Raw genomic sequence first — 19,953 nt, forward strand, 5'->3', positions numbered from 1 at the left:
GACTCTGGAGGCCAGCGTGGGGACGGCCGAGCCGTCGTTCTCCTCGTCTGCACCTCCTCTTCCAGCCTGGATCTCTGAAGCAAGCCTGGTGTGGGTCTCCTCGCCCTCCCCCGGCCCCCCGCAGCCCTGACAGGCCCCACTTTGGGCCCATGACTGCCTTGTAGATCTTCTACCCTGAACAGCTGTTGGTGGATCTTCCCTGCTGCCTGGAATTCCCGGAGGGCAGGGGCAGTGGGGGAAAGCACATGGGCTTCCAAGGCTGTCCCAGGTGGCTCAGGTGAGACGCCCAGGTGTGTAGCCCCTCCCTGCCTGGGAAGCCCCACCCAGCGAGGCGGAGCCGCAGAGCCACTCACCTGTGCTCCTCCTGGCACTGCCCTCGTCTGCCCTTTGTTTCTGATGCGTGAAATTCCACCAGCTATGGGGATTCATGAACAGGCATGGCCACGGGAGCCTCCTCCCCACGCTCTAGAGCTGTGCTTGGTGCTCCCATCCACAGAGCGTGATGCCCTAAGCCGCCCTGGCGTTTATTCTTTCTTAAAACCAAATACCAGGAGCTGCAGATCTGATGTCCCTTTCCCTCGACTGAGTCAAGGGGCCAGCTTCCGGGCAGGCAGACACCAGCACCGCTGTAGCGAGGCCCTGGATGCCACCAAGATACTGGCAGGCGGACACCAGCACCACGCAGTGAGGCCCAGGATGCCACCAAGATACTGGGAGGCGGACACCAGCACTGCTGCAGTGACGCCCCGGATACAACCAAGATACTGGGAGGCAGATACCAGCACTGCTGCAGTAAGGCCCCGGATACAACCAAGATACCGGCAGGCGGACACCAGCACCGCTGCAGTGAGGTTCAGGATGCCACCAAGATACTGGGAGGCGGACACCAGCACCTCTGCAGCGAGGCCCAGGATGCCACCAAGATACTGGCAGGCGGACACCAGCAAAGCGCAGCGAGACCCAAGATGCCACCAAGATACTGACAAGCAGACACCAGCACCGCTGCAGCGAGGCCCAGGATGCCACCAAGATACTGGCAGGTGGACACCAGCACCTCTGCAGCAAGGCCCAGGATGCCACCAAGATACTGACTGCTCCCAGGTCACCTATGTTTCAGAATACATTTCCTGGTTGAGTTAATAAATGATGCAATGGCACAGAACCTGCTTGATCAAAGAAGCCATAGACAGATTTCTTTGCTGTGAGGCAGCTGTGAAACCTCAGAAATTAAACGCAAAATTTGTGTATAAACTTAAATGTGCTTTTCTAGGAAGGGGAGTTCTAATTATATGTGATTCTTGGTTTATTGTCGTCCATTTTCACCCGGCCGTGCAATGTGCACTTTGCCACCTGATTTGTGCTGTAAACGTTCTCTCCATGTGTGAAATGTGCACTTGGCGGGGAGGAGGCTGAGGACCCTGCCCCAGACCTTCCTGGGCGACCTGAAGGACAAAGCACCACATCTGCTGCAGAGAGTTTGCCTGGAGAGTCTCCACAGGAAATACCCCAGGCCCTGGCGAGGCCACTCTGGTGCGGGCTTCAGAATGGTCTGCGGGTGGTGATCACTTTTGATGTCATCTGCATTTGGAGAGAGGCCGTGCAGAGAGCCAGGCAGGCCTCACCCAGGTCTTCAGCAGCTGTTTCAGTGGCATGGCTGGCTCAGCCACCAGAGGCGCAGCTATTACTTTTCTCACCCTGTTGCTGCCACTACAAATGTTCCAGAATCCGTGGTGTTGGGGGCCAGGAACCTCCAGCCCCCACGTCCCAGAGGCTGCCTCTCCACTCTCATTTTGCTTTGTTATCTCAGGCCTTGGGAGGAGGAGAGCATGGCAGAAAGGCAGTGCTGGGGTCCCCCAACGTGTGAGTAAGCTGTTCCTACTAAAGACACTGAAGTCTCACTGCCTCTTCCCATGATCCAGCCCACATGATAACACAGGCGTAGGCACACAGATGAGGTATGAACATGTGAAAGGGAGTAAAGAAGGAACAGTACGGTGGCTCATGCCTGTGGTCCCAGGGCTTTGGGAAGCTAAGGTGGGAGGATCGCTTGAGGCCAGTTCAAGGCTGCAGTGAGATATGATGGTGCCACTCCATGCCTGCTTAGGCAACAGGGCAAGACCCTGTCTCAGGAGAAAAAAAAAGGAGTTAAGAAATACTGTTATTCATAATTCATGCCATTGTCACCTAAGAGAATCAGCTGCAGTCCTGTTAGAACAGAGCCAGTGCTCCTCAAACGCTGATGACATCAGAATTCATCCCCACCTGCAGACCATTTACACCCACTGACAGAACACAGTCACTCGTTAGAAAAAGGCATAAAAAAGCCCCACTCATGATTTCAACAAAATATCAAATACCAAGGAGTAAACTTCAGGGTAAATATTCAAGACCTACAATGTCAGAAAAGGCACAATTTCATCAAAGGACATAGCAACCCATGAGTTATCCTGTGGATTGATGGAGCGACCTACCCAGTTCCTACCCAAAAAGACTTAATATTATGATTCTTTGCTGGTTTATCTATAAATTACATGCAATTTCTATGATATTGGCAGTGGAAGTTTGAGGGGACTCTCACAAAATGATTGCCATTTTCACTGGTGAGAATAAAAAAGAAAAAAGTTAAAAAATAAGATTAGTGAGTAAGGACAATTTTACTACAACATTTACAAATTATAAAACTAGGATAATTTTGAAATGTTGGTTCTAGGAAGGAATAAAAAGAACGAAAAGTCTGGTGTCGGGGGACATATGTCAAACCATTCATTGTGTGAAAATGTGGGGATTCTCATCAGGGGAGAAAGAACAGCCCCCACCCTGCCAGGTCCTCCCTGCTTAAAAACTGAGGCAAGAAAACATGCATTTAGATGCTCACCTCACACCTGCACCAAAATAAAATCCTAATGGATGGGCAAATGTTAAAGATGAAAAAGTTAAATGAAAAGAAACACTTGGCCTCATATCCTGCTGAGAGTGATGCTCCCCTTTCAGGTAGAGACAGATACAATGAAGCAAAGAAGATGATGGAAATTTTGAAAAAATGCCACTCATTTCTCCAAAACAAAATGAAAAGGCAAAAGAAAAACCTGGAGGAAATATTTACAACCTATTTGACAGCAAAATTCTCAATACTCTTCATCAACAGAAATGGGCAAATTGCATGAACAGGCAGTTAACAAAAAAGAACGATGAGGGCCCAATATCGATAGGAAAAAAAAGCATCACTGATTATCGGAGGAATAGCAATTAAAACCATTAGGCTTTATGACACTTACAGTATAAACTGAAGGATAATTTAAAACCACAGTTGTCCAGAACATGGCAAATCAGCACCATCATGTGGTAAGAAAACAAATAGATTCAAGATCATGTGGTGCAAATTTGACTGGGTATATTCAAACCTTAAAAAGTGTTGGTATATTTAGCATGTCACTTGATTTCTGAAAACTTGTTTTAAGCAAATAATGAAATGCAAAGATTGCCATATAAAGATGTGTGTATCAACATCATGAAAAAAGTGAAAAAAACTGAAACCACAAAGGAGTAAGAATTCAGCCAGTGAATACAATTGGGTTTGTATCTGTTATCAAACACTGGGTTCCTTATAAAAGGACAAGTTTAGCCTCTCTTGCATATCTCTCTCTCCTCTCTTTCTTTTCTCTCTGTTTGTCTCTCTTTGTTTCCCTCCCTTTCTCTTCCTCTGTCTCTCTCTTTCTCTCTTCCACTCTCTGTCTCTCCCTCTCTCTCCTTCTCTCTCTTCCTCAACTCCAATCTCTCCTCTCTTCTTTCCTCTCTCTCTCTCTCTCTCTCCCCCCCCACCACACACACCTTTTACTTTATCTCCCCACCCTCTCCCCTCTCACCTTCCACCATGGGCTGACACAGCAATAAGGCCCTGGCCAGATGCTGGCCCCTTGGACTTCCAAGTCAAATGCACAGCAACAGAAACTTGTTAAATAAATTCTTTATACATCCACATGATAGAATAAGATGCAATTATTTTTATGTATATAAGAGGAAAACATTTAATAAACATAAAATGACCACGTATATTATTAAAGGAAAAAACTGTATGAAATAGTACATTTCTCATAATTCTCATTTTGTAAAAATAAAGTACTTATCTATGGACATAATGAGAAAATGACTCAAGGTACCAAGAGTTTAGCCATTAGCTATACCAGTGGATTATAAGCAAATTCTGTTACGTGCATGCACTCACCTACGCATGTTCATGTATTCATACATACGTACATAATTTTTTAAATTTTCTTTTATAGACAAGCAATAGCTTTATAATCTCTATAATCAGTAAAAATAAGTAAGTGGCTGGACGCAGTGGCTCACACCTGTAATCTCAGCACTTTGGGAGGCTGAGGAGGGCAGATTATGAGGTCAGAAGATCAAGACCATCCTGGCTAACACAGTGAAACCCCATCTCTACTAAAAATACAAAAAATTAGCCACGCGTGGTGGCACGCGCCTGTAGTCCCAGCTACTGGGGAGGCTGAGGCAGGAAAATCGCTTGAACCCGGGAGGCAGAGGTTGCGGTGAGCCAAGATTGCACCACTGCACTCCAGCCTGGGCAACAGAGCAAGATTCCATCTAAAAAAAAAAAAAATTAAACAACAACAAAAAAAGTGAGCACATCATTTGTGGCGTCCAGGCACTACATCAGTGAACACAGTTGGTTTTGTGTCTGCCATGGCACTGTTAGTTCCATGGTGCGGGTTAGCAAGGTGCCTGTCCATGCCTAGTCTGAGATGAGTTCTGGCTAAGGTGCCACCAGACACTGTTTGGATGCTGCAATACTGCCTTCTGTTTGCAGGCCTTCTATGTCCCAAAATCTCAGGCCTGGGGAACTAAGCCTCCAACCTCCCGCTGCCCTTACAACTGGCTTTCGGAGAAGCCCCCCAAGAAAATAGAGACAAGGCAAGGTCTGGAGAGTTGGGTCCCATGGTGGGCAGATTCCCAGCACCCTGCTGTGTCTTGGGGAGCACGGGGATTCCCCACTTGAAACACAGAGCCCTGCCCTCCACCCCAGCAGCCGCCAGCCAGGTTGGAAGCCCCTAAATCCTGACCCCACGTGCAGAGTCTCACTACCGGGCACCCGCATGTGTAAAGACGTGAAGGGTGGAGAATCTTTGGAGGGAACACTGCTTCTCAGGGAGACACAATCTGGAATTCAAAGTTTCTAAATTGCATTTTCCTTTTTAAGGAAGTAGCAGATAATATTTGTAGAAAATGTACTGCACTGAGGAAAGTATACAGGAGAACGTGGAATTCATCTGTGTTCTCCAAGCCTGCTGTCACCAATGTAAATATTTTGGTGTGTTTCCTTCCAATCTCTTTTCTTTACGTGCTTTTAAGTTAAATGCGAATCATACTGTAAAAACGCCTGGCGTTCTGCTTCTTCACTGCTGGTGCGTCCTCATCTTCCACACGCTACAGTCTGAATGTGTTTCTCCAAAAGCGTGTGCTGGAGACGGAATCCCCAAAGCAACAGCGTGGGGAGGTGGGGGCTCTAGGAGGTGATGAGGCCTCCGCCCTCAGGAATGGGTCAATGCCATTATGGCAGGAGTGGGTTCCTCACTAAAGGACCAGCTCAACCCTCTCTTGGGTACTCCCTTTCCTCCCCCTGCCTGCTGCCCTCCACCCTGGGCCATGGGATGACACAGCAAGAGGGTCCCACCCCATGCTTCCCCTCAGCCTTGGACTTTCCAGCCTCCAGAACTGTGGGCCCGTAAATTTCGTTCATTATCAATTACCCCGTCTGTGGTATTCTAAGATAGCAGCACAAAATAGACTAAAATACATCCCGTGAACATGAGAATCCCTCAGCCAGGACTCCCAAGGCCACAGAGAGCCCTGTCATGCTGGTAAGCCGCTCTCCGCAGACAGCCCTGATGTGCTGGTAAGCCGCCCTCACCCAAGTCCCACTTCTGTCGTAGACACTTGGGTGTTGCCAAATTCCCTATTAAAAATATGTTAGGGACATCCTCATCCATGGATCTTTGTGCAGCTCTCCAAGGAGGTCTTTCTGTTTGGGAGACTTGACAAGTTTCCAAGGAAGAAAGAAGTTCGGCCCGTGGTGAGGTGCACAGGCTTGGGAGCAAGCTTTCCAGAGCCTTGCTGCTTCATCCACAAACCGGGACAGGAAGCTGACGTCTCCCCCAAGGGCTGGCATGAGGACCCATTGATTGTGTTCACGCAGACTGCTTGTAACAGTGTCTGCTGTACAGGAGACATGATCGTGATTATTGTTACCATGATTAATGTCGTGCGCAGGCCTCTCCTGGGTGCCGGGGATTCAGCTGCGATGAACAGGACAAAGTCCAGATCTCATGGGACCGGCATGGGGGTGATCTCAGGGAGGACAACAGAGAAAATGGAAGCCAAGAACCGGGAACAGGGATTCCGACAGATCTGGGTTTCTGATCTTGTGGTTTGGGAGCCTTCACATGGATACTCGCAGGAGTGGGAAGGCCGGGGCTGGGACAGGTGGTGGGGATCTAGCTGCAGAGGCTCCCTCCAGGAGCACAGCTGTGCTGTGTTCATCCCAGCGGTGGGGCCACCAAGACTCACAGCTCCAGAGGGCTGAGACATGTGGTCTGATTTGGCCCAAGCAGAGTGGACACCTGAGGCGGGGGTCGGGGGGGCTCCCTCTCAGCCCCCGCCCAGATCCATGGACACAGGAAAGATGCTCCATCCTCAGGGCCATTTGGGGCCACGGCCAGGGCAGGGACTGTGTTTGGCAAGAGGGGCAAGAGCCCCTGAAAACAGGGCTGGGTGTGCCGATGTGAGCAACCAGAGGTCAGGGAGAGGAAAGGTGACTCACGCAGCTTCCAGGTCCTGCCACTGGAATGGCTGGATCCTGGTGCAAATTTCTGGATGCCAAAGTGCATTCCAGAAAAATCTGTCCCAGCAGTGCCCAAAAGTGCTTGTTTCACGGCCATCCACTCGTCATGAATTTTCAGGAAAAGACAAAAGCAAAGCAAGTATGGCAAGAAAGTTGTCAAGTTAAGGCAAAAATGCGTCTTTGTCTCTCTCCAAATTCCACTTGGACCTTAAGTGACCAGGCGTCCAGATGGAGCCGAGGGTGCTGGTCTGCCCGGCGCCCACACATGCTCCAGTTAGAGGACAAGGCGCAAGCTCCCCCGATGACACGGGAAGCTGGAGACATTCTCGTGTTCACGGTCACAGCTCTGCTCCTTTGAGAAATAAGCGGCACGATGTTTTTCTAGTGGGTTTGCCTTTTTCTCAGTGATGGTAAAAGTGCTGTGTATGTTAAGGTGAGTGACTCAGGACCAAGGTGAGTCTTGACTCCTCTTGGCTTTGCGCTGAGAGCACCTGGGAGAGTCAAGGGAGCACACAGGACAGTCCCTGCTTCGGCTCCCCAGGAACACGCGGCCAAGTGCACGCAGCCGGTGTCCTCGGGAGCCGGTGGTGGGGCTCCCTGAAGGTCCTAGAAATCCGGCGGCACAGGGACGTGCAGGCGGATGAGCTGGAGGGAGATTCTGCTTTTCTCAGTTCCTAGTGAGAAGTCAGAGCCCCTCTGAAAGACAGACAGTCATCTAGGTCCCATCTCAGGAGAAAGTGGAACCGCCCGGGCCGTGCCTGCTAGAATCAAGTGCAGTTTTCACAAGACCTTGCTGGAAACTGGGAAGATGGACCCCGCGCCTTTCCTGGGAAGAGAAGAGTGTGTTTTACACACGTGCTCCCGCCAGGGGAGAGCAGAGGGGAGGCAAGCCAGGCACAAAGCTGGCACGTGGGATGAGTGAATCAGACACAGCTGCATTTGTGTTCTCGGTTCCTCCAAACACGAGACGCTTGGAACAGGGTCTCTGAGGGGTGGACACAAAACAGGGACCGCAGTCTGTGCCTCCTCAGAGTAATGGCACCTGGAGGACTTCAGCGTGACGCGTCCACGGGGCGGGAGGCCTGGAGCTGCTGGAGGCCACACTGCGTTCCTGCATCTGGAATATGGGAACTGTGAGTCCCTGCTCAAGCCCCCACCCCAGGCCAGGGAATGGCTGGTCAAGGGGCCTAAAGGCTGGAGGGCAGGAAGGTCCCACAACTGCGGTGGCAACAGCAATCAGTATCCACGCCCATCCAAATGGACAGTTTTCCCTTCATGCTCTAAGTAAACCTGTATAATACGTAACTGTATATTTATTCCCTTTATTACATATATATATGTCTGTATTCTCTTTATTACGTATGTGTGCATATTTGTGTCTGTTTATGTACCTATATGTATGTATCCCCTTTGTTACACACATGTTGTATGTATGTATGTGCTACACACTGAATGTGTCCCCCAAAAATGTCTATGTTGAAACCCAACCCACAGCATCATGGGGTTAGGAGGTGGGGCCTTTATGAGGTGATGAGGTCACCAGGGCAGAGCCCCATAAATGAGAATAGCACCCCTACAAAGAGACCCGAGAGAAACGCCCATCCCTTCCACCACAGGAGGAGACAGCAAGAAGACAGCCGCCTGTGAACCAGGAAGAGAGCCCTCACCAGAATGGGCCATTCAGCATCCCCACCTCAGACTTCCAGCCATCAGAATGCTAGGAAATCCTTGTCTGCTGTGTATAAGCCCACAGGCGACGGTATTCTGCTGTAGCAGCCGGAGCTAAAATGGTATGTGTGCCCATGTGTGTATATTGTGGGTGTGTCTGTACATACATGTGTGCCTATGTGTGTATATTGTGGGTGTGTCTGTACAGGCATATGTGTGCCCATGTGTGCATATTATGGGTGTGTCTGCACATGCATGTGTGTGCCCGTGCATGTATATTATGGGTGTGCCTGTATATGCATGTGTGTGCCTGTGTGTGCACATTATGGGTGTGTCTGTACATGCATGTGTGTGCCCATGTGTGTATATTATGGGTGTGTCTGTACATGTGTGTCCATGTGTGTATATTATGGGTGTGTCTGTACATGTGTGTGTGCCCATGTGTGTATATTATGGGTGTGTCTGTACATGCATGTGTCTGCCCATGTGTGTATATTATGGGTGTCTGTACATGTGTGCCCGTGTATGTATATTATGGGTGTGTCTGTACGTGTGTGTCCATGTATATTATGGGTGTGTCTGTACATGCATGTGTGTGCCCATTTGTGTATATTACGGGTGTGTCTCTACATGCATATGTGTCCCTGTGTGTATATTATGGGTGTGTCTGTACGTGCATATGTGTCCATGTGTGTATATTATGGGTGTGTCTGTACATGCATGTGTCCATGTGTGTATATTATGGGTGTGTCTGTACATGCATGTGTGTGCCCATGTGTGTATATTATGGGTGTGTCTATACATGCATGTGTGCCCATGTGTGTATGTGTGTGTCTATACATGCATGTGTATGCATGTCACATTCCTGGCAATTATGTGTATCCTAACAAATGCCATGTGCTGCGGCACCGTCAGCTCATCTAATTATTTCCAAATCATTTTAAATCCACTTTCAGGTATAATTTGTATAAAATAAATACACTCATGAGTTTTGCCAAATGGGTGCAATGTGTACCCAGCACCACAATCAAGATATAGAACATTTCCTTCATCCCAAGGCTTACCTGAGCCCCAACCCACCCAGCCCCCAGACCCAGCTCTAGGCAAGCATCCACTGGCTTTCCATCACTACCAGTTAGTTTACAGTTTCTTGAGTTTAGTTTAAGTAGAATCACACAGCATGTCCTCTGTGTTTGGCTCCCTCCACTTGGCGTGTTTGTGGCCATCTATGCTCTTGTGTGTATCAATAGTTCATTCCTTGTTATATCCAAGTGGTTTCCTGCTGTATAGAGCACATTATATACACAGTATCTGAGCATATCATCTATAAAACCATATATGGATGCATTCCCAAGTTAATAGCAATGTGGATTGTTTGCAGCTTTTAGCTCTTTGAATGAAGCTGCAATGAGCATTTATGTACAAGTCTTTGTGGGGCACGTGTCTTCTCTTTTCTTGAGTAAATATCTAGAAATGTAACTGTTGGATCATATAATGAGTGTATGTTTAACTTTATTAAAAAAAAAAAAATACCAGGCCGGGTGCAGTGGCTCATGCCTGTAAACCCAGCACTTTGGGAGGCCAAGGCAGTTGGACCACCTGAGGTCAGGAGTTTACCCTGTCTCTACTAAACATACAAAAAATTAGCCAGGCATGGTGGCGGGTGCCTGTAATCCCAGCTACTTGGGAGGCTGAGGCAGGAGAATCACTTGAACCCAGGAGGCAGAGGTTGCAGTTAGCTGAGGTCATGCTATTGCACTCCAGCTGGGCGATACAGCGAGACTCTGTCTCAAGAAAAAAAAAAAAATACCGAACTATTTTGCAAAAACATGAATCAGTCCACAATCCTACCAAAATGTATAATAGTTCACATGTATGATGTATGACAGTGACTATTCATTCTTATCAATATTTGGTTTAGCCAAACTTTTTAGAACTATAGTCATTCTTATGGGTGTGTAGTGGTGTCTCATTACAGAGTTAATTTGTTTTTTCTGATTAATAATGATGTTGAACATTTTCATATGCTTAAATATCTCTATTTTTAAGTGTCTGTTCAAACAGTGAATTTTGATCAAATACCACTTATTGATTTTATTTTATGGTTTTTGTTTTTCATGTCTTACATAAGACATTTTTGCCTTCCAAGGTAACACAGGTTTTTTTCCACATGTTTCCAGTTTTTCCATTTAAATCTAGGATCTATTTTTAGTCAATGTTTGTATATGGTATGAGGTAAGGGTTGAAATTCACTTTGTTTCCATACAGATATCAATTTTTAGCCCTATTTTTAGATTCTCGGTTTTGTTCCACTGAACTGTCTTTATGCCACTATCACACTGTCTTTATTGTAGTCTTATAGTAAATCTTAAAATCAGGTAGGATAAGTCTTCCAACTTTATTTTTTGTTTCCAAAATTATTTTTCTTATTTTCAATTTTTTGCATTTATACATAAATTTTAAAATCAGTTTGCCATTTCTACAAAACATCTTTGGGGATTACATTGAATCTACAGACCAGTTGGGTAGAATTGAAATCAACAGTGTTGAGTCTTATGATCCATGAACATTGTATATCCTTCCATCTATTTAGTTCTTTGTTAAATTTCTCTCATGAATGCACTATATTTGTCAGTGTGTGTGTGTTGCACATTTGTTTATTCTTAAGTATTTCTTGTCTCGGATGCTATTATAAATGATTTTGTTGGTGGTGTTGTTTAAAATTGTTCATAGTATCTTTGATGTGGCCATTGCTAGCTACATGATGACCCTGTCTGGGTCACATTTTGACACAGGGAACGGCACTGGACTTTTCCAATGACTTTCCCATGGAATGGGCAGTCGTAAGTCCTGGTGCCAGCGGGAGCACAGCTGGACATGCTTTGAATCATAATGGCCAGGTACACACCCACATGACATGGACCTGGGTGCCTGCACTCCTCCTGACCCCTCAACACCCACTGGGTACTGCCTGCTCCCTGCTCTCCCACCCCAGCCTTTGCTCACCCCTCCTCAAGTGCAGACACACCCACCTCCACCTGCTCCACCTCTGTCCACTCGGTGACCACCGCATCAGCCATCAGGGCTCCAAGCCCATCTCCTGTGGACCACGTCCTTAGGTAACTTACAGGGGAGAATGTATGTTTGCATCAAAAATACTGTTTGCAGTGCAAATCCTCTTTCAGCTTCCCCTGAACTAACAGCAGTTATATCCCCAATTTGTCTGGACCTTATAATGCTACTAAAGAATTCTACGTATTTAATAATTCTACTATTGACTAAAACCACACCATTAGAGACCCATTTACCAAGGGTAATTGTGGCACTTAGGACAACTGGCTCAAACGAGTGCAGTTACGTTAGGATTTTCGTTACTAATTAACGCCACTACTCATTCCAGCTACTACTGCGCTATTTGCCAACTGGCACTGGAGTTTTTCAATATCTTAACAAGAAGCATAGCCACACAGGCATGGGTCGCCTGGAAATCAGCCAGGAGCAGGCAGCAGAAGCAGCGATTCTCTGCTGGGCATGTGTTTTTTTGGATGATGGATGGGAGGTAACAAAAAAAAAAAAAAAAAGCCAAGGAGAATATGGGTTGGGGCTGCCTCTGTCAAGCCAGCTCGAGTGTCTGAGCCCCCAGCCCAGGTGGGAGCGTTCTCACCCCATACGCTGGGAAAACCTAGCTGAGTCCAGCAGCTGACCCTGAAATTAGACTCACAGCTCCTGCACGGCACACCCAGACCCGTGCTGGGATGCCCCCAAGAACATGTGGCGGGCTGGCTCCTGGTGGGTGGCCCCGAGTGAAGGAAGGACCCGGGAGGGGTCTTGGAATGACTTTAGCCAGGCCTCTCTCATTCCCAGCTGCTGCCCCTGTCACACAGCAAGCTGGGCCCTGCCTGAAATAATTCACCCATCTTTTCCTAGAGGCTTCTCAGCCAGCACACCTGGATCCCCACGAAACTGCAGAAACTGTGACTCAGACCCGGCAGCTCCTTACCAAGCCCCTCCCTGGAGCCGCCTCACCTCCCAAAGGGCTCCTCTCTCTTGCTCTTCAAAAGTTAGCCCCAACGACCTGCGGCACACGGCACACGAGACTGGCTTCGCATTTTGCGTTAATTGGAAAGCAAAGCAAGCGTGGGAGGGAGTTGTTTGTATTCACGGCATCAATAATTTAACATGAAAAGAGAGAAAATAAGAGAATATGCAATCCACACATGCAAATCTGGCTGAAATTTATTACTTACTATAATAAAAAAAGATTTTAATAAGGCATCAACTATGCTATTTTAAGAAAGGAAGGGGGCACGGGATGTGATTCCTGTGTTCCCTACATGACAATCTTAAAAAGATAGAACTTTAGGAATGAAATATATCCAAAAAAATTAACAGGAGTTGCCTCTGGATAACCAAGTTATGGATTATTTATTTGAATTTTCTTTTTTATTTCATTGTATTCCAATATTTCCCTCTATGATGGGCATTTTTTAGTTCTATAATAGAGACATGTTTTAAAGTAAGAGATGACTGGAAACGGAAGACTATTCATTAAAACATCCTATGCCTAGCGAAGACTGCTAACGTCATTATGTGCAACTTCTCAACAGAACTTTCAAAGGCAGAAGGAATAGCTCCACCAGGGGCCTCGTGTGCTCATCCAAATTTGAATTCAACTTTGCTCCTAAAATGAACGCACTGCCTCTGACCCAGCAGAGACTGAGGAGCTCCGAGTCTGAGGTCTGGCTCCAGTGGGAACCGTGGGGGGACTCCATGCAGTTTCTCTGGGACGGAGACACCGCACCTGGACATGAAGGGACGGTGGGGATGCAGGCCCCCTCCGGCGCTGCGCTCCACAATTTGAACATAATCCAGGCTGATGGAGGTGGTTTAAGACAGGAAACCACACCCCAGGGCTGCGGGATGCAGGCGAGAACGGGAGCCCCTTCCCCACAGGCTGCGTCCTGCAAGGTCCACGGAGCTCTTTCCTCTCCCCCCTGCAGTGACCTATACACAGAGACACCATCTTCATGGACACGGACATGACACGCGCTCTGGGCAGCCTGGCTAGAGCTCTGCCCACGGCACGTCAGCCCCTCCACTTCCGTCTGAAAGGTGCCGGCCGCGTGTGTCACGCGAGACCAGTCCTGCACGTGGATCTGGACGGGGCAACTGCGCGAAGGGTCATGAATCCCGCCGGCCAGGGAGGATCGTCTCCTGTGCAGAATGAGGTGCGGTCAGAACACGGCAGAAGCTGGGAGCTCCCACCCGGCTGCCCGAGACACCTCCCCTCAAGATTCACCAAACACCACGACGTGCAAAGAAGAAAGTCCACGCCTCCGCGGAAAACACTGCGGCTCGGCAGGTCAATCCAAACCTGGAAACACCTCGGCGCGGCCTGTCAGTCTGAACCCGGAAACACCTCGACGCGGCCGGTCAATCTGAATCCCCAGAAAACACCGCGGCGCGGCAGGTCAGTCCGAACCCGGAAACACCGCGGCGCGGCCTGTCAATCTGAACCCGGAAACACCGCAGCGTGGCCTGTCAGTCTGAACCCGGAAACACCTCGACGCGGCCGGTCAATCTGAATCCCCGGAAAACACTGCGGCGCGGCAGGTCAATCCAAACCCGGGACATCATTGCTACCAGGGCGGAGGAGAATACACGCAAAATATACCAGGGCGGAGGGGAATACACGGAAAATATACCAGGGCGGAGGGGAATACACGGAAAATATACCAGGGCGGAGGGGAATACACGCAAAATATACCAGGGCGGAGGGGAATACACGGAAAATATACCAGGGCAGAGGGGGAATACAGGCAAAATATTTCAGGGCTGAAGAGAATACAGGCAAAATAAAGTGCATCTCCTAGAATTCCCGCAATCCAACAGCGTAGCCCGATTCCATTTCCAAATAGACACCACTTTCTAAAAACGTCACGGAGGAAGATGCTTCCTAACGACTCAGGGGTCTGTCCATAAACTTGGCATCATGTGGTCCAAAGTCTCTGGAGCGTGGAGGGCGATCTTCTCTAATCCCGGGGTCGTGCTTTCTGGGACAGAAATGAGAGACCCCAGAAAGTCCCTGGATGCTACCCAGGGGACTGAGGGGTGGTCCACAGCACCATGTGTTCTGAGAGGGGGTCTCCCTAAAGGTGGGGAGCAGGGAGGCCGGGCACGGCCCCCACTGGCTTCAGAGCTCCTCGCAGCCTGCGCCAGCGCAGAGCAGGACGGGAAACAGCCCCGGGAGCAGAAGGTCCCAGCAGCGGAATTCCCCTCCACTTGGACCAGGCCTGCGGGAGATCCGGGCACTGACAGGCGGGGACATTTTAGAATCTTTTCAAGAAAAGATAAAGAAAGAAACAAGAGTAACAGGAGGCCAGAAGCAAGGGCATCTACTGCAGACAGCGGTGCCGCGGGGCTGGAGCTGAAGCTACCCAAGGAGCCCCAGGCTCGGGAGCCTCCAGGCACAGGCGCCGTCGGGAGCCTCCAGGCACAGGCAGCGTCGGGAGCCACCAGGCAGAGGCAGTGTTGGGAGCCTCCAGGCACAGGCGGCGTCGGGAGCCTCCAGGCAGAGACAGCGTCGGGTGGCAGGGAGCCCCTCAGACTGTCCCTGTCCCAGTGGTCTCCAGCCCCCGACTGCACTCGACTCTGCGGTTCTCACCCCTCTGCCATCCCAGAGGAAGGGGCATCCCTGCGACTTTCCATCCACTACCCTGGCCTGGACCACTCAACTCCAGGGACTTCCTCCACCACCCAGACGCCTCCCTGAGCCCAACCCGGTTGTCCCTACCCATAACTGACATCAGGGCACCTTCCAGGCCCCGAAGTTGTCTCTGAGGCCCCAGCTTCAACACGTCGCTGGCTGGTGTGGGCTGTGGTCCCCACGGAGAAGGAGCAGACAGGGCAGGAGGCACGGCTGAGGACGCTGACCAGGCTGCCCCAGGCTGCTCCAGGTGCCAGCCAGGCCCTTGTATCTACTTCGTGTCCTCGTGTTGACAGTCTGAGAAGTCCAGCTGCCTCCCAGGGGCATGTGTGCCCCCAAGAGAATGTCACAGTGGGAAGGACTCACCCCTCGCCAGCCTCCTTCCCTCCTTCTCTACCCACCAGCCTCAGCATCCCCTTGATGAGGGGTGAGCAGATGCAGCTGGCTCTGAGCAAAGAGCTGGCACTCCCCCATCAGGAGGCTGTGCCCCGGTGGCTCTGGGTCCTCCTGGGCCTCTGGGGACAGTGCGGCCCCCTCCAGGTCCACTCCCAGTTCTTCATCCACCCCAAACTACATCCAGCGCTCTGTCCAGCATGGCTTACTGAGGCTCTGCAGTGAAACCATCCAATAAAGACACAGGAAGCACTCCTATGATGAATGACAAGAGACGTCCCCTGTTTGAATGCAGGCGTTCTCTCCCCTTACAAAAATTTTAAGGAGAAATTAAGGTTTAAATGCTAAGTTCCCTTGCAATTTAAAGTTCAGAAACATTAAAGTCCAGAGGAATTAAAATCAGGTCTGTCACCTTTGCGAGCCCTTTCCTTCCCGGTTTGTCATTCTGCTAGGCTTCCACTGTGGGACCCTTGATGCCTGGGGGGTTTCAGGGTCTTTCTTCCAGGCTCACTTGGAAGCGGGGGGCTTTACTCCAGTCCTCAAAGACTGCAACAGCCACACCAGGCCTCAGTGCACAGTCCAGGTGTCTGAGACACACAGGCCATCCCCACAGCAGCCCCCACCACTGCAGGAAGCCAAGAAGCCAGTTCCTGGAGCAGCTCCCCCGGGATGCTGCCTGCCCCCTGCCTTCCCGGACAGCAGAAGCATCACACGTACCATGTCCTCCACCACAACGGCCCAAGCCCTACCCACCAGGAGGATGCGGAGCCCCTTCTCAGCCCACACATCCCTGAACATCCCGAGAATAACGTGCGTGCCTGCAGGTCTGATGAACATGCCCTCTCGACCAGCCATGCTGGCTTGAAGGTGCAGGGGAGCCGCCTCATGCAGAGTCCTGAGAGCCTAAAATCCCCACAGCTCTTCCTCTCCTGCCCACCTGCCACCCCCAGCGCAAGCCCCGGGCCCCCAGCCCACAGCATCCCTGTTCTCACCACTGTCTCCTTCTCAACCCACATCCAGGGCTGAGTGCGGCGCCTGGGGGAGCAGTCTCAGGGGTCCCAAGAGCTTTCACAAGGAGCTCGAAGCTCCACCCAAAGAATGCAGAGGCTGCAGCTTCTTGCTTCAGAGCCAGGAGGAAACTCAGGCACCAGGCGTCTGGTGCATGCGGGGCTCTGCCAGCCACGATGCAGGGAACCTGTGACATCATGAGGCTGTTCCACGGGAATTCCACAGCTCCCATCCTGGAGCACGGCTCACGGACAGGAGAAAGGGAAAGGCTGTGACAAATACAAACGACCAGTCACCTCCTGCCCCAACTCCAGGCCTGGGTGACGGATGGGCCGGATGTCATCGGGGCACAGGTGATTGTGGCCACATCCTGGTTATGCGGCACCATCAGAGCAAGGCTCGGCTCAGGCAGGTGTGGAGCACTCACTGGGGCTGTAGATGCGGGGAGGGGGAGGACAACAGAGTGACCAGTGCAGGCAGCACAGAGTCACCAATACAGGAAAAACACAGTGACCAGTGCAGAGAGGACACAGTGACCAGCCGTCGGAGGAGGGAGGAAGACAGTGACCAGCCATCAGAGAATAGAAGGTGACGGAGTGACCAGCCGTCAGAAGAGGAAGACAGCGACCAGCCATCGGAGAATGGAAGGTGACAGAGTGACCAGCCATCAGAGGAAGGAGGAAGACAGTGACCAGCCATCGGAGAATAGAAGGTGACGGAGTGACCAGCCGTCAGAAGAGGGAGGACTTGACATGACCAGCCTCTCATGTCTACTCGAAGGCATCTTATGCCCCATACCCCAGGACAGAGGGAACCTGAGGTTTTCTCAGAACCTGGGCATTGGCGTGGGCTTTCTGGGGGCTTTTGAGTTAGGCGGCCACGTGCAGTCCACATGCCGTGTGCTCGGTGGACAGAGCCACTTTGAACGCAGCTTCTCAAGCAGGATTTCCTGGGTAGTTTCTACTCCTCAGGCACTGACCCAGGCAGCTGAGACAGCACATGTGCACATGACGGAAGGCGCCTGGCTGCAGGCAGCCTCGACTCAGCCTGGGCCCTGGACGAGGGACAAAGGCCCAGAGAACGCAGGGGTGCACGGAGCACCAGGCCCAGGGGTGGCCTCACAGGGCAATAGGAGGGCCCAGACCCAGGGCAGGTCCAGGGGCCGCCCCTGCATCTGCACCCGCTTCCCAGGAAGGATCAAGGCAGCGAGCTCCTCACGGGGCGGGGGCAGGCTCCACTCTGTCTTTTTCTTTCTTTTCCTTTATTATCATGTATTTGACAAGTAAAAATATGTATTCGAGGTGCATGACCCAGTGAATATGCCGACATACACGTGCTTTGTGGAAGGGTCACCACAATCAAGCTAATTAGCGCAGCCTCACCTCCGCCAGTCACCTTTCGAGTGACTTTGCAGGAGAAAGCAAAGAAACAGCAAAAGAACTCAGGACCTGACTTTGTTTTTGTGTAAGGGGCCTTCACCCATTCCTGCACGGAGCCTAGGATCTTCTAGAGGACGGAGAAAATACACAGAGGCAGTCGTGATGCAGGTTTTGAAACTCACTCCGGGATGAAAGGGGAAGCTGTGAACAGCTGTTCTGCTGTGGATTCACAGGTGCTCGTGACCTGACCAAGGACGAAGGCATCGCCAGCCTCCTCGGACCCTCGCTGGCACCCACATGTGTGCGGTCACCTGTCACCTCTTGATCCCAACCCCCTCCCCGTCCCCCTGCCCTTAACATAAAAGAGCCTGGAATTCGTGCAGACTTGAGATGGTCTCTGTGACACTCTCAGTCTGCCGTCTCCAAAGGCTGCTGACTCGAACCCGCTTTTCCTCCTGCCAGCTCTCCTCTGCCGCGTGTGGCTTTCCAGCAGGGAGCACCTGGGTTCTGTGGCAAGAGCACTTGAGGTCAGGTCACAGCAAATCCATGTACCCAACACGTTCTCCTTCACCACGGCCACCCTGCTGTCCCAAGCTTGTCACCTCCCAAGTGAGCCTTGGTGCCATTCGACCAACCTCTCCCCAGTTCCCCCCTGCCCAGCCCTTCCCCACCCTCTGCCTCTATGAACTCAACTATTTTAGCTCCCATGCACAAATTAGAACGTGGTATTTGTCTTTCTGTGTCTGGCTTTTGTCACGAGCGCAATCGCCTCCAGGCTGTGGCAAATCTCAGGACGTCCTCCTCTTCCGAGCTGGGCAGGATGCAGGTCGCCTGTCCATTCGACATTTTCTTCGCCCCTTCCTCTGTGGACACGCCTGCTGGCATCATGGAGATTTTCCTGGTGCCCAGAACATGACAGAGCTTCACTCAGTTTGAATGCATGAAAGTGTGGCTTCTCTCTGCCTCCCAGGCTGTGCTTGGGAGCTGAGAACATCTCCAGGAAGCCCACGGGCTTCCGAGTGGAGGAGGCAGGTCGCAGACGCGTGAGGCCCTGAGACTGAAGGAGCTGGAAAGGAGAAGTTCACGGGGGGCCGTTGCTCACATTGGGAGCTGTGGCCGGAGGGGCACAAATGCTGCTTACCTGGGACTTCTCCCAAACAACAAGAGAAACACCTTGACAACAAGTCAGGTTCCGGCCCCTAGTGCCGCAGAACTGAGCCTTGACAGAGCTCACACCAAACGTGGCTCAAACTCACTGACCCCAGCACCTGCTCCCTGTTCAGCAGGAATTGTCTCCTTGGTAGAGATCCTGTCAAGAACTTTCCCACTGTTCCCATTAATCCCAGAGGCAAGCTCCCCCCGCTTTCCAGGCATGTTTTTATGTAAACAAAGTGGTTAATTAGACAATTCGCTAAGCTGTTTAAAATGCATTTTGCTTTAAAAGAACAAGTAATCACAATATAAAAATCACAGCATTTCTAATATGTCAACTAATTCCTCCATCATATTTTTAGAAACAAATGGATTCACATAATTTATTAATATGCCTCTTCTAATTTCATTCATAAATAAGTAATTGCATCTTAACTCCCATTTGATAGATGGGAAAGATTGCAGAGCTGGGAAAACAGGAATTGTTGCACCCTTTGGGGGAAAATCAGGGAGGAAAGAGCCAGGTCGGGGCTGTGGGCCCTCGGGGGATTCTGGGGAAGCTGCTGTCTGTGTGTGTTCCCCATGGCCCGGTCACAGAGCTATCCTCACGGGCGTGGTTCTAGTCTGTGAACATGACCCGTATTTTTGATCAATTCTAATTATAAATATTAATCAAAAAGGAGAAGGAAGGCGAACTCCAGGCATTTGAGGCAATAGGCATCTGGCTGAAGTTGTCATTAGCTGGGTCACTGACAGCCCCACAGCGGCCGGCCGACCACACAGGTCAG

At 50.5% G+C, this 19,953-nt stretch overlaps 1 long non-coding RNA gene across 3 annotated transcripts in view; it reads right to left on the reverse strand.

Annotated features, from left to right (window-relative positions):
• The window catches only part of MIR3667HG (MIR3667 host gene), a 242,996-nt gene that overhangs the window by 187,226 nt on the left and 35,817 nt on the right, over nt 1-19,953 (reverse strand). The window contains exon 4 of one of the 3 annotated variants that reach the window (NR_171025.1): nt 17,879-18,911. The exons of the other annotated variants lie outside the window; for them this stretch is intronic. This is a non-coding gene — a long non-coding RNA (MIR3667 host gene). Of the gene's footprint in view, nt 1-17,878; nt 18,912-19,953 lie in introns of those variants that run through there. 3 annotated transcript variants of the gene reach the window in all.

The sequence above is a fragment of the Homo sapiens genome, chromosome 22 (assembly GCF_000001405.40).
Source record: "Homo sapiens chromosome 22, GRCh38.p14 Primary Assembly".
Taxonomy (NCBI): domain Eukaryota; kingdom Metazoa; phylum Chordata; class Mammalia; order Primates; family Hominidae; genus Homo; species Homo sapiens.